The sequence below is a fragment of the Homo sapiens genome, chromosome 12 (assembly GCF_000001405.40).
Source record: "Homo sapiens chromosome 12, GRCh38.p14 Primary Assembly".
NCBI classification, from domain to species: Eukaryota; Metazoa; Chordata; class Mammalia; order Primates; family Hominidae; genus Homo; species Homo sapiens.
This window is the reverse complement of record NC_000012.12, coordinates 81,192,020-81,206,924: the sequence shown is the minus strand read 5'-3', so window position 1 is coordinate 81,206,924 and position 14,905 is coordinate 81,192,020. Positions and strand designations below refer to the sequence as shown.

The 14,905-nt window shown below is 34.5% G+C and overlaps 1 protein-coding gene across 6 annotated transcripts in view; it reads right to left on the bottom strand.

The window, feature by feature from the left end:
- Positions 1-14,905, bottom strand: part of ACSS3 (acyl-CoA synthetase short chain family member 3) — a 183,340-nt gene that overhangs the window by 54,286 nt on the left and 114,149 nt on the right. For 5 of the 6 annotated variants that reach the window (XR_944720.4, XM_047429549.1, NM_001330243.2 and 2 more), the window contains one exon: positions 7,481-7,584. Coding sequence is in view for 5 of the 6 variants with exons in the window: in XM_047429549.1 (XP_047285505.1) it covers positions 7,481-7,584 (104 nt within the window). In the remaining variant the exon portion in view is untranslated. Of the gene's footprint in view, positions 1-7,213; positions 7,266-7,480; positions 7,585-14,905 lie in introns of all 6 variants that reach the window. The other variant, XM_005269151.6, reaches the window with a different exon arrangement.

Sequence of the window (14,905 nt, the reverse complement as noted above, 5' to 3'; positions counted from 1 at the left end):
ATGCTATAAAGATGAAATGTCTGATTCAATGAGGGTGTTTGCTTTGGGAATTCATTCTCAGGTGGATTAGCAGTTTGTAAACAGTTATTCACTTTCAGAAAGAGAAAGCCTTATTAAGCATGCCTTACATTTGACAAAAGGTTATTCTTTCCACAAACCAAATTCATGTAGCTTACTTCTAAGCTCTGGCTTTTCAAATTATCAGTAAAAATCACCTACTTTAAACTAATGAAGACTACTCTAAATGAGAAAAAATGCTGTTGCCAGGCAACAATAATGACATAGGGCTTCTTTTCTCTCTCACCAGATGGATGCTGTCACGCCATCTCTAGTTACACGTTGCTGAGATGACACTGTGTCTATATAACTGCTTTTTCCCCCATCACAACTTCTCATGTTAAATTTACCAAAAAATATCTTTTCTATGAATGAAAGAAAAAAAATAAATGTATTTCTGACCATTAAATTGTGAAAAACAAAGATGTATCAGACAGTAGTTAAGTCATTCATATTACTGAAAGATTATTTGCATTTTACTATTTGAAAGTAGCCTAGGGTATCTCCTGGGTAACCTGGTTCATGGGGTCATGTTTTGCCGGTTCAGTACAACCCAACTCTTTGAGTTCTACAGTTTGCATTTCACACTAGCTCAATCCATTATCTTTGAAACACAGACATGTACTTTAAAGAAACCCTCCCACCATAGTGCAATTTTGATAGACTCAGAAATTACTGAGTAAAATACAGAAGCAGAGAATAACAAGTAGTTAAAAAGCAAAATCCAGAAGGCAGCATTTGATAGCACATGGAAATATTTTGCTCCCTGATCTGCAGACAGAGGAATATTTGCTAATGGCTGTTGGTACTCAAACCACATAAAACAGGTTTTTAAATCAAGATGGAGTCCTCAAGTCACCAAGAATGTGCTTTCTTCATTGTCACATCAGCTATATGGGCCTCTTATGCCTAGGTATGCCTAGGAATGTATTTTGCAGTAAATATACAAGATTTTGCACAGGACACAAGCTAAGTAAATTCGAAGAAAGTCACACGCTAACACACAGTTGTGAAACGTTTTAAAAAGTGTAAAAATAACAAGAGGCATAATGTTCTCAATGCTGATTCCAGGGATATAAAATTCCTTATTATAGCCTAAATATAGAGAACTGCAGGCTGACAGATTAAATCCATCTGCAATTCAGTGTATCAACATGGACACATGAAAGAAAAATGTCTGAGAATTCAGGAGGAACAATGGAAGAGGATGATCACGGAAAAAAAAGTGACTTAGACTTTGATACCTTACCTAGCAAATCCTCAAATCCTAGTTAAGTGTTTTACAATGTGTTTACTTAGGAGGAATGAGACAGGGCTGTAGTTGTGCCTGTAACATTTCCCACAGAGATCTCTGTTATCAAACTCTTAGTAATTATTCTATTTTGTGGTTTTGATTTTTGTAAATAGAATGTATTGCTGTCTTAAACAATTTCTGGGCTAGTGAATCTTCTCCAGATATCCCTAAGAATAAGGATTAAATTCGATCAACCTCGTCAACTTTTGTAGTTAAAAGTCTTGCCTCAGTTGTCTACTGTCAGGAATTCTAACTTGCCAAGCTATGCAAAAATAAGAAATCATAACAAGCAGCCCTGACACATTTTAATAACATAGTATAAGGGTATGTGTACCCTTAGAATCAATAGTTTAGATTTAGGAGCTGGCATGACTGAAGTTTGGAGGAGCCTTTGGGTCCACTTTAACAAAATCCAGAATTATCAGATTATTCCCCAAAGGAGGAAGAGTTAGGCTGTATATAGACTATAATTACTTCAGAACTGCAGTTACAATTAAAACCGAAGCAGTTCAATCAATTATGGAGTGAAATACTCAGATTACACCAAGATAGAAGAACTCCACAAAGATGGCTCAAGGCAGATAAAGTAAGATCAAACATTTCAATCATCACCAATGTCTCAGTTCATTAGATGACTACTGTTTTCTCATTGAAATTCCTCCTTAGAGTTTAACAAATTCTGTGAATTATCTAAGAATTTTATTCCTCCATTAAAGTGATGAAAACAAACAAACAACAAAATCACCTAGTGCTGCTCAAGTTGGTGGTCATTACTTCATTTCAACTATGTCATCAGTACCTGGACATAAGGACACTTGAAACACTTTCAATATAAGCTCTAGATCTTCTGATGGTAAGTACACAGGTAGTGTCCTGTCAACAGGTAAAAATAATCTGAATTTTGTTGAATTAAACCCTTCACTAAGTTGCCCCTTATAAAAGCCATTGTGGAATTTGAGTATTCTATCTTTGTAGCTGTCATGAATTAACTGAGTGATAGCAAGAGAAAGAACAAAGCGTTTTTATCTAGGATTAAATAACATTAAACATTGGGACTCCAGGATGTTTTGTTACAATCATTTCTAAACCAATACCATATCTTATAGCAAATAGGAATGAATGAAGGAAAGAAGAAATAAAAGAAGGGAGGGAGGGAAGAAGGGTGGAAGAGAGGTAAGGAGGAAAGAAGGGAGGAAGAGAACGAGGGGGGAGGGAGGAAGGGAGGGAAGGAAGGAAGAAGAGGAGGAAGGAAGAAGAGGAGGAAGGAAGAAGAGGAGGAAGGAAGAAGAGGAGGAAGGAAGAATAGAAAAAAGTAGATCTACTGTGTTTAGGATTTAACAGTAAGTCTCTGAACTTTAACAAATCTTTTTTTTGTACTAGCTCATTTACTCATAAAAACAATAATTCCTTTACAGTGATCTTAAATCACAAGAAAAAAAAAATCCCACGAAGGCCACCATGCACTGCACTGACAGTTCTTTCCTTCTAAAATTGTGCTTCCTGTCTGACCTCTATAACAATATAGTGTTTTATTTGGGGATCGTACAGCTGAGGATAAGGAAGTTCTGGCTGTTCATTTCTTTTTTTTGGCACATGGATTACCATATTTTAATGAAACCATTATCTTTTTGTTTTCCCTTTTTAAATTATGATTGTAAAACCTCTGTTTCTCTATCTCTGGGTAAAAAATAAAACGAAAAGTTCAGTCAATAATCCAGATGTTTTTAATCTTTTTATGGATGAGTTACTGTGAAGATAATACATCTGGGTGAATGACAATTTGGCTTTTATACAGATTTAGAAACAAATAGAGACAACTCTCCTCTCTAAACTTGACAAGACCAATTTCCTTCATGACAGCATTAAATATTTACATTATTATACTCCAAAGCAAGAGATTCATGCTTCAGTGGTGGTGAACAACAACAATTCTTTATTAAAATGTTCCTATGAGGGGTGGAGGGTGCTAATCTGTTCTTGTATTTTCTACAGATTAGGTCTCAGTTTAGATTATTAGATATTATTTGAATCAGATATAAAAGAATGTCTTTTTAATGAAATAAAGAGGATGTTAGTCACTAAAATCAGTTGGTACTAATACAAGTTGCACTAGAGCAACAATAATAATGTGTGATGGTTAATTTTAGGTGTCAACTTGACTGAATTAAGAAATACCTAGCAATCTGGTAAAGCATTATGTTTGGTTGTGTCTGTGAAGATGTTTCCAGAAGAGACTAATATGTGAGTCTGAATGGACAAGATGAGAAGATCTTTCCTCAGTGCGAGTGGGCACCATCCAAGCAGGCAGAACCAGAAAGAACAAGAATAGAGGAAAGGTGAATGTGTGCATCCAACTGCTGAAGTTGGAATACACTCTTCTTCTCCTATCCCTGGACAACAACTCCAGGCTCCCCCATCTTTGGAGTCCAGAACTTATATAAGTGGCCCCCTGAGTTCTCAAGCCTCTGGTCTTAAACTAAGAGTGACATCATTCGTTGGCTTCCCTCATTCTGAGGCCTTTGGACTTGGACTGAGCCATGCTACCAGAATTCCAGGGTCTCAAACTTGCAGATGGCCTATTACAGGACTTCTCAGTCTCCATAATCATGTCAGCCAATCTCTCTAAAAAGTATCCTCTCATATATCTGTATCTATATCTACAAATTCTGTCTCTCTGGAGAACCCCGATTAACAAAACATGGTCATATAAATGAACTGACTGCGGAGTCCCTTCTTACAACTCAAGTCACAGGAACTACTTAATTTTTATTCATACGTTTTAGTTACTTAACATATCCCTTACTAATTTCAAATTACACATCACAGTTTCTAAGCAGCTCATTTGTACACATGTATCAGTGTAATCAGAGAGCAAATTCATGAATTATTCATACACATATGAATTTATATGAAAGGCTCATAAAAGTGTGCAAGTATGTAAAAAATATCAACTTCTAAGTCAATAACAAGAAAAAGGGACCCTGTAGAAAACTTGAAATTTGAAATAAAGCAAAGTATTATTTGGTTAAAGCTAACCTTCTCTTAAACATTAACATGTGTTTCCTAGCATACTTCTTGGGGAAATGTACCACCATCTATTTGATATACAAAACTAGGAAACTCATTAATGCACTTGTAATACCAGATGTTTATCTTTTTGTAATATTTCATAATAACTCATAACATACTTGCCCTTTCACCCAGAATCAAACATCAATTTGATAGCACCTTAGGAAAGAATGGTTGAAATTTTATTTTATTTTTATTTTTATTTATTTATTTATTTATTTATTTTGAGACAGAGTCTCGCTCTATCACCCAGGCTGGAGTGCAGTGGTGCGATCTCAGCTCACTGCAAGCTCCACTTCCCAGGTTCATGCCATTCTCCTGCCTCAGCCTCCCAAGTAGTTGGGATTACATGCACCCACTACCACACCCGGCTAATTTGTTTGTATTTTTAGTAGAGACAGGTTTCACCATGTTGGTCAGGCTGGTCTCGAACTCCTGACCTCGTGATCCGCCCACCTCGGCCCCCCAAAGTGCTGGGATTACAGGCTTGAACCACCGCACCCAGCCCTTCAGTATCATTTTATAACTACTTACCACAACATACAACTTTGAAAATGATAAATTGATTTTTTTCTATGCAAACGTATAGAGATCCTAACTAGTGTCCTGTTAGCCAACCTCTGCATCACCTATAATGAAATTATTTTACAAAGCACAAAATAATCTAGCGATCTAGCTACTAGCTACCTATCTACCCATTCAAATATATTTGTGTAGTTTAATAGGACAGAATACCAAACAAAGGCTGTAAAAGCAAACGGGATGAGGACAATGGAAATGGAAAGAATCATTCATTTTATTAGTAAAATCCACATGTTTTCCATGGCAATTAACAGTCACTCCAACCTGATTACAGTGACAGCACACTGACACAATGTAGCTATTAATTCCCTTGGAACAATACATTAAAGAAAAATTGCAAATTCTCATGGAACTGAGTATCCACCAGGGACCTCATATGCTTCTGTCACAGGCTTCAGTGACCTTTTTTGTAAGCCTGAATAAACTAACTACATAAACCCACACAGGCTATTATGTACAAAGGTGTCTATAAGAAAAAGTAAAAGAATTTTATAATTTTATTTGTGAATGTGCTAGTTTTCTTCAGTGAGTTTTGGCACAGTCACCTTGAAGAGGGAAAAACAGAACTTTTCTGCAAGCGTTTGTGTCGGGTCACGTTTGTGTGGAAAGTAGTCCCCCATTTTGAACAGATAAGAGAAATTATCTTAAAGGTGACAAAACATTTTCTAGTTCATGACCAAGAAAATAACTGTTAAAGCTTTCCTGGCTAATAGGGGATACATAAATACTGTAAACATTTTTCTTGCAGATGCAATAATTCTTCACTTGTTTCTATGTATTTCTACACATAGCATTGATTGTTCTCAAAATTCCTTCTTATACTTTGTATTTTCTAAAGAGTTACAAATCTGAGTTTAAATAATTTTCCCCTTAGTAAATAAAACTGGAAGGAATAGAAAGCTTCTTTCTGATTTTCATCTTATGTAAGGAAAGTGTCCTCTGCTCTGATTATTCATTTTATATTTCATATTACAAAGGATGTAAAAAACATTTTTTTCTTTCTTTCTTTCTTTTTCTTTTTTTTTTTTTTTTTGACAGTCTTGCTCTGTTGCCCAGGCTGGAGTGCAATGATAGGATCTTGGCTCACCGCAACCTCCTCCTCCTGGGTTCAAGCAATTCTCTGCCTCCCGAGTAGCTGAGATTACAGGCACGCTCCATCACGCCTGGCTAATTTTTTGTATTTTAAGTAGAGATGGGGTTTCACCATGTTGGCCAGGCTGGTCTGTAACTCCTGACCTCAAGTGATCTCAAGTGATCTGCCTGTTTTTGCTTCCCAAAGTGCAGGAATTATAGGCGTGAGCCACCGTGCCCAGTCAGAAAACACATTTTTAAAGAACAATATTCAAGGACATAATATAAAAAGTATAATTTGTCAGAATCAGAAACTTCTGAAGTATCAAACACTGCATTTCAGGCTTAGTCATTCAGTTAATCTTTTACATGAAAATCATTTTTACAATCAGAGCTAATTTTTTGCAAAGTAATCTCACTAATTTTTAACCCAAATTTGATATTCTGCCCCAGATGCAGAGAAGGTGAGAATACTGAAAATATGTATATAAAAAGGTTGATCTAATTCATTGAACTAAGTGGGACTAAAATAAAATATGTACATATAAAGGTTGTAGGGCTCCCATGGCTCATAGCTGCTTTCAGTGAGTCAAATTTTTTAAAATCTCTGTACTTTGTGAGGAGGTAAATGGCTTCTAGACAATGTACCCATTCTCATATATATAGCCATCCCTCAAAAGAAGCAGCAGATAGAGTTATTGTTGTGGTGGTTGTCTGCTTATTCCAAAGTTTATAGTTGATCCATTTAATATGAAAATTTGTTTCCCAGGGAACACTTAGAGGGAGGACTATAGGGAATAAACAAAATAAATTAAATGAACAAATTACATATGTAATGACAATTGTTTTGAAGAAAAATAAATTTCTCTGCCTTTAATGCTAGGCAGAATATATTAGATATTATAGAACACAAGAAGGTGGCCAGAGAGTCCTATGAGAGGAACAAGCCTTCATAAAAGGACTCTGGGAGCAGTGTGCAGTGTGTATCAAAAAGCAGAGAGAATAGAGATGAGTGATTAGGAAACTTTAAATCAGGACAGAGGATAATGCAGCTGCCAGAGCTCAAAGGCAAGGGGAATACTGAAGGTGGAATGAACCCAACAGACACTTCAAAGGAAAATCTGAGACTTAGTAACTTACCAGATATAAGAAACAAAGAAGAGAAGATAAAGAGGTCTTTAGTGCTTTATACCTAGGGACCAAGAGAATGGTGGCATCAATGTCACTTATGAAGACATTATTAATAACACAACAATAAAAAAATTGCTTATTTTTACTGAAACCTGAACCACTCGAATCCCGAGTTTGTGTCTGATCTGCTGGTCGTAGCTCAAAAGTTTCCTCCAATCCTTGCAGCTTTTTGGAACATTTCTTTACTATTTATGTACATGCTAGGAAAATGCTTACCAGTTTGCCACCAATGGTCTAAGACAGGTACTCTGAAGACATTTTTGGACCATTCCAGGGTCTCTACATCACATCGTTCTCCAGCCACAAATAATGTTTTGAACCTGAATATGAGACAGTGAATTCAAATTATTCCTGGAAAATAAATCTAAATAATTGTATTTACATTTTAAAAACATTGGTTAACCACACTCATTATGTCAGAGGAATACAGCAATATAACCAATACATCACACTGTATAATGATGAGAGTCATTTCTTGTTTGGGCCCAAATGTAAACAAACATACATCACAGAATTGGAGTGAGGTACTTCCAAAGTAGAATTCACAGCTAGTGCTTTTCAGTTTATAAAAGAGCAATTGAGTTGATCTCTGTAATCGATCTGCCATGTTCATCTAATGATCAAAGATAAAATATATTTCACCTTGACATTGTCTCCGCTAATTTTAGCTCCAAATTTGATTGCTATATTCTAAGTAAGGATATACACAAAAAATACATACATAAGTGTTGGCTAAGGCAGCAAATATTCTTATAAATATGAATTTGTTCCTTCTTGTGAGATCCTATGATAAAGATTACTCTAATTTTGAGTATATATTTTTCCTATTCCAAGGACATATGTAGGAGAAATAGCTGGTAAAGAAGTAAATGCCACTGTGGCCTTGGAAGTCAAAAAGGTTCTTCAATCAAAAGGAATACAAGAGTACTAAAAGATGAAGGAGAATAACCATCTTTGGCAGAAAGCACTGTATCGCAGAATGGAAAAAACGAAATAGGAAAATACAATTGTGTTGACCCCATTAGTGGTTCGTTGAGAGCATGGGTGTTTATGGGTTTTTTTTTTTTCATTTTCAAATGCCCTCAGGACCTGTTTATATATATATAAAAAGTGTGTGTGTGTGTGTTCAAAGAGTTAATTCATTTATCATCAAAGTAAAACACAAACAGTTGACAAACAAAAACCTGTCTACTGATCCTGAACAACGTAGTATATTTTACTATTCGCTTAATTTTTCATATCATTTCATAAAGATTCATGGAGATTCAAATACTTCCACTCCTATGTTCCAATAACATTCTGTTTCTGTCTTTGCTATGAACATGTATCTCATTCTAGACTTCTTTTGTTTTTGTCTATTTCCCACACTGCACTATGAGCTCTTTAGGAACATGTATCTTTATAATCCCAAGACCAATCAAAGTACATGAAATTTTTAGGTATTTAAACATTTCTAGATGCTCAGAATGATAAAGTACAGAGGTGGGGAGTTAGCAAAATTAACACCAGTTTGACTTATTCTTCTAAGTGAAAGAAGAGTCATGTTGGTTTCTTAGAGTGTGGAAATTGAGAAAAAAAGAACAGTGCCCTGAGGAGGGCAAAATTCTGGAATTACTAATCTAGGATATTTTCAGTACACAACATAAATGTGAAAAGACTTGAGAACAGCCAGTTGTTTTTTATGGACTCAATCAGTGACCTGGGAGGCTAAGCGGGGGTAGCACATATTGGGGTGTGATACAGGGGATGGGAAATCGATGCTGGAAAAGCTGCCTGTAAACTCTAGACTAGGCAGGAATTATAGGAAGGCAAGGCAGTAATAACCAGAATAAAAGAAAAATACAAGGAAAAATAGTGAGGTAAATGACTAGAAGTCACATAAGAAAAAGTTTGATGAAAATGAAGGCAAGGTGAGAAAAATAGGGTGTCATTGTAGACAGAAGGCAATTTCAAACTTACAGACCTTGAAAACGTGTCTGTTCTGAAGGATGATAGTGTTTATGGTAGCTGACAAGGTCTAACAGTGAAAGACACAGAGGGAAAGAGGAGTATTTTCATAGAAGGATTCTCTTCAAGATAGTATTAAAAATCACTCAAGTATCATAGCAGTGGAGAGTACAAAGAAAGTCTGTGACTTGTTGATTAAAGAGGCTAAAGGAGGTCTGAAGAGTGGGGAGAGGGTATTACAAAGAGATAGCATGAACTTCAACAGAAGATGGGCCACAAAACAAAGAAAATTCTCAAGTTCTCACGTTACCAATTTTATTTTAACATCTTCCCCAACTTTTATAGATAATCTTGGCCCTGAAGGTGCATTTGACCGCAGTAGTGAGAAAAAAATAACAGTTTAATTATTCTACAGAAAATAGAGGTTTTAAACAGCGATTGAAAAATACACAATAATTAATTTCTGAGTATAAATGAATCACTGATAAATGATGTCTATATGTGAAGTGCAATCACCTAGAATTATTCATGGTAATTTTCATCTATAGAAGATAATACCTTTAAATCTATAAGGATGTCAAAAAGGTTTTAGTTAAATTGTGATAAAACATCCAATGTGCTGTTACTAATCCACGTTCGTTTTCTGAGAAAATTAAAAAAAAATCTGCTAATATAAAGATATTCACAGAATAAAATTATCTTATTACATTTTATTTTTTGCAATAATGTAGTTGGAGCCATGAGGATGAACTAAATTGGTGATATAGTTAGGATACCTGTTCCCTCCAAATCTCATGTTGAAATGTGACCCCCCAGTATTGGAGGTGGGGCCTAGTGGAAAGGCTTCATGTCCTCCCCATGGTAATAAGTCCTCACTTACTCTACTTATTCGCATGACAGCTGGTTTAAAGAGCCAGGCACCTCCTCTCCTCCCTCTTGCTTCCTCTCTCGCTATGTGAGATGCCTGCTCTCCTTGAGCCTTCCACCATGATTGTAGGCTGTCTGAGGGCACACAAGAAGCAGATGTGGCATTTGCTTCTTGTACAGTCTGCAGACCCATGAGCCGAAATACATCTCTTTTCTATATAAATTATCCAGCCTCAGGTATTCCTTTACAACAATGCAAAATGGGCTAATACAATTGGCATGGTCCAATGGAAATATAATGTGAGCTGCAAATCCAAAAAATATATCTAGTTTAAAATTTTCTAGTAGCCACATTCAGAGAAAAAAAAGAATAAGGTCAAATTAGCTCTAATAATATATTTTATTAAAATACATATATCCAAAATGTTATTATTTCAACATGCAATGAATATAAAAATTACTGGTGAGACATCTTCCAGTCTTTTTTAAATACCAAATCTCAAATTGGACTTGCCACATTTCAAGAGCTCAATAGCCACGTGAGGGTATTTCAAGAGTTCAATAACCACATGAGGCCAGAGGCTACCATATGGGAGAGTGTAGAGGTAGATCATGACTTTCTGAAGAAACAACAGAATTCTTATACTGGCCTGGAGGAAGAAAAATTTTAATTTAATATTACATACTCAATTCCTGCTCAAATCATTATGCTAATAATTTATTCTGACATGGATCTGTATGCATGTACATGTGTGGGTATGCAAGTGTCACGGAATGCAGCTAAGACAATCTATTACTTAATGTTTTATAAGTAAACTGTTATCTCAACAGATTTTCAAAATTTAGAGTATGATTGGTTTAATAATTAGGCATCGTTATAGGACTTCACATAATGGTACAATCCACTGTCAAAAATAATATTTGAGTAGCTGCCCACTGGTATATTTCTCAACTGCATATTCAAAATTATCTAGGAGCAGTTCTTTAGCACAATAAATGCCAAAGGTAAAATTCGCGTGTCCTGATATAGACACAGAAGCATCATTTTAAATTTCAGATAAGAGCATAACCTATTACTAGTCATTGTTAAGAAATTTTTTGAATAACTTTTGTGAGTACCCTCTAACAGTATGCAATGCTGCTAGGGTAATCTTTAAACCTTTGAGAACAAGGAAGGGGGATAAAAAGTAAGGAAGAAAATGGGAGAGCAAGGAAGAGAATGAATAAGAGACAGAGACTAGGAAAAAAAAACCACACAATTTTTTTGACAAATTACATATCCATATGCAATTTGAGATAAAATTTAAGTAATCAAATGTATATATTTGTAATTTGAGATTAAAATTTGATGATCAAAAATGACCTCATCTGAGGGAACTGTTATAGCAGAATGAAAAAATTATTTAAACATTAAATTATTAAAAGTAGGTTAAAGTATAACAAAGATTAGTGTAAAGTTTTAACGTTTAAAATGAGGTTGATATACCTATAACTTTAAATGCTATGTAAAAACAAGACAAAATAAAAAATATAAAGGCCATAATGTTGATAATCCTAGGACTGAAAAGTAGTGCCATGTTTTTAATCATATGTTATTCAAACACTTTTCTGATATTTTAGAAAACTCCTGTGATGAAAGACATCATACATTTAGATAACACATTAAAATTTATAAAATGATAGGTTTGGCTGATCCCAGCAGTGTAGGCAAAGAGCAACCAAAACGAATAATTCTACAGGTCTTAATATCACATTTCCAATGCCTGTTAAGCCATAAATTAGTTTAAAGAAATCTAGATGGTTCAAATGCCCATGTCTTTGGCTTATATATGAAACTAGAGATCGAGAACTTCAAAAACACTCACTATTAAAAATGTGATGTACAACATTGTCAACTAAAAAACTAAAATACAGATTTTTAGCAAACCAAGGGACACCTGATATCTTGATATTACCAGCATTTTTGCAAGCTGTAATTTTTTTTTTGACTATCCCCCAGTCTCTACCACACAAACTACAATTAATCTAAGTAAGTGATTATAATAATAAACCATGCATTAGCATTGAGCACTTATCTGATGGCAAATTTCACTATTATATATTTTAAAACTTAGTATTTATTACTGTGTTTTTGCAGTATATTCCTATTGCTTTTGTTCCTAAACTTGTTTACTGTTCTTTTTAATATCATTATTATAGCAATCGTCATGCTGGCACTAATAAATTGAAAGGTACAATATTACACAATGGATGACAAAAGTGGTTTCATCTCTGAAAGTCAGAAAAATCCCTTCCATTTCCATTAAAATCACTTTACTATTTATTGAATGCAAAGGAAAAATTGTGAGATCATTAGTGGTTTAGAAAAATGTCAAAGACTTTACGGATGACTTCTTTCCCTAAATATGCTAGAAACTATCCATTTATTTTTGTATTAAAATTCCTCAAACTATCAAAAAGTTATTGTTATTTTATCAATTACAGACTGCTAATTGTATAATACTAAGGAACATAAACAGAATACAAATCTAAATAAAATTTAGGAATAAGATATAATTAATGAAACAATATAATATCATAAATATTTAATCAAATATAATTTAACTCTCAATTCCTTTTAGTAAACAAAACTACACTAAGTGATTTGCCCTTTTTTAAACATGATAATAATTGAAACAACAAATCTTAGTATAAATCTATATTTTATAGTTATCTTAGGCATCAGGTATCTTCCTATTGTTTCAAGAAGTACAGTGGTTTATAAAAAAAAAATAGTAACCTTTTCAACAGCTAAATTCCTCATTAATGACCTTGACATTATTTTATTAATAATACAAAGGAATAAATGCCTACCGTAGAAAATTCAAAAATATATTTTGTGTAAATATACATTTTACAAAAGTTAAAATTAGACATTTTTGTAGAGTAATTTGGGCCCTCTGGATGGTAAATTTACCTAAGTTAATTATGTATGTTCTAGATCTGACTGTACAATGTAGTAGCTACTAGCCACATGTGGCCATTTAAAATTTAAATTAGTTAAAATTAAAAAAAAACTTACAATATAAATTTCTCAGTAATACTAACCTAATTCAAGAGTTTAATAATCACATGTGCCTATCATATTGTAGAGATTAGTTTATTGGAGAATGCTGTCATAGATTATTATTGACTATTAAATGTGTAGATAATTTCTGATGATGGTAACACATGGAAAGATTTATCTACTTTAAAATCTATAATACTATAAACTAAACAAAATAATAATATTCAGAATAGAAAAAAAGGAGAGGAGAGAAAATGAATGGGCATGAGACCTATGCACCTTTCCCTAATTTTATATAAAATTGAACACAAGACTAAAATGAAGCTGAAAATTAAGCAAAAGGGAAATGGAAAAATGATAATGCTGTCAAATTAATTTTGGTCCAAAATAGAAATGAATAAAAAGCTAAAGACAAATCTGATGAAGAATTTTCAGGGAATAAAGTGAGGGCAAAAAAATAAAAAATAAAAGTGAATATTTCCTTCAAGGTCCATAAACTACCAAACAAGCAAAAATTACTCTTCACTTGTGCCAACAGATGTTAAATAAAAATAGATTATTTCAGTGATGCCTCGTCGACTTCTGGTTCACATGACAGATTATCATTATTTTTTGCCATCAATATATCTGTGGTTATCTTCCTTTTCCCTACATTCAATTTTCTTCTATTTGCTCCCCATTAGAATTCACTTTTAAAATGTAAAGACGCTAGTGTTAATATCACACATGTATTTGACTCTTCTGTGAATGGCTGAATAGCATTTTGCCCAACAATTTCTCATTTCTTTCTCATCTCTCTCTCTCTCCCTTTTTCAAGTACAACCCTCTATCTCTCTCTTTTTCTCAAGTACAACCAAACAAGCTGGAAAAAATATAAAAATGAAATACCTTTTGAATACATCAGAGAACTCAAAGGCAATAGCACTTAAGGCATCAAAAGGCCAAAAAGAAAAATGTAGAGAGACATAAGACTGATTGTCTTAACTGTTTTCCTTCTTGGGACACTTGCTAATTGGAAACAGTAATTGAAGAGCTGAGAAACTGAACAAAAACTATGTGGCTGACTGACAGGCGTTGAAACTAAATGGTAAATCCAGTCATAATAATTTCTTGGGAAAGGAAAATCGAAGATTAAAATTCACAATGGAAAAAAGGTGACATAAAACACCCAGGTATTCAGTTTGCACACCTGAAGAGGTATAGCTAATAATGGAGGTAAACTGGAAAGAAACCAACCCTCTCAAATATTGGAGTCTAGCTTCAAGTCAGCTCCATTCCTAATGAATAGAAGTGATCTTCCCTTAAGACAATTGCCTGTCAGAATAAGAACCACTCTGTGGGGATATTAAAACATCTGGTATCTCAATATAGCTATTTTCTTTTTTCTTTCTGTTTTTTGTTTGTTTGTTTGCTTTTTTCCTGAGATGGAGTCTTGCTCTGTCGCCCGGGCTGCAGTGCAAGAGCACGGTCTCGGCTTACTATAACCTTGCCTCCCAGATTCAAGCCATTCTCCTGCCTCAGCCTCCCAAGTAGCTGGGATTACAGGCACCCGCCACCATGTCTGGCTAATTTTTTGTATTTTTAGTAGAGATGGGGTTTCACTATGTTGGCCAGGCTGGTCTCGAACTCCTGACCTCGTGATCCACCCGCCTCAGCCTCCCAAAGTGCTGGGATTACAGGCACGAGCCACCGCACCCGGCCAAAATAGCTATTTTCTTATAACAGTGATATAATGGAAGACAAGACCATATGATTAAACTCTCAAAAGAAAAAAGAGACAT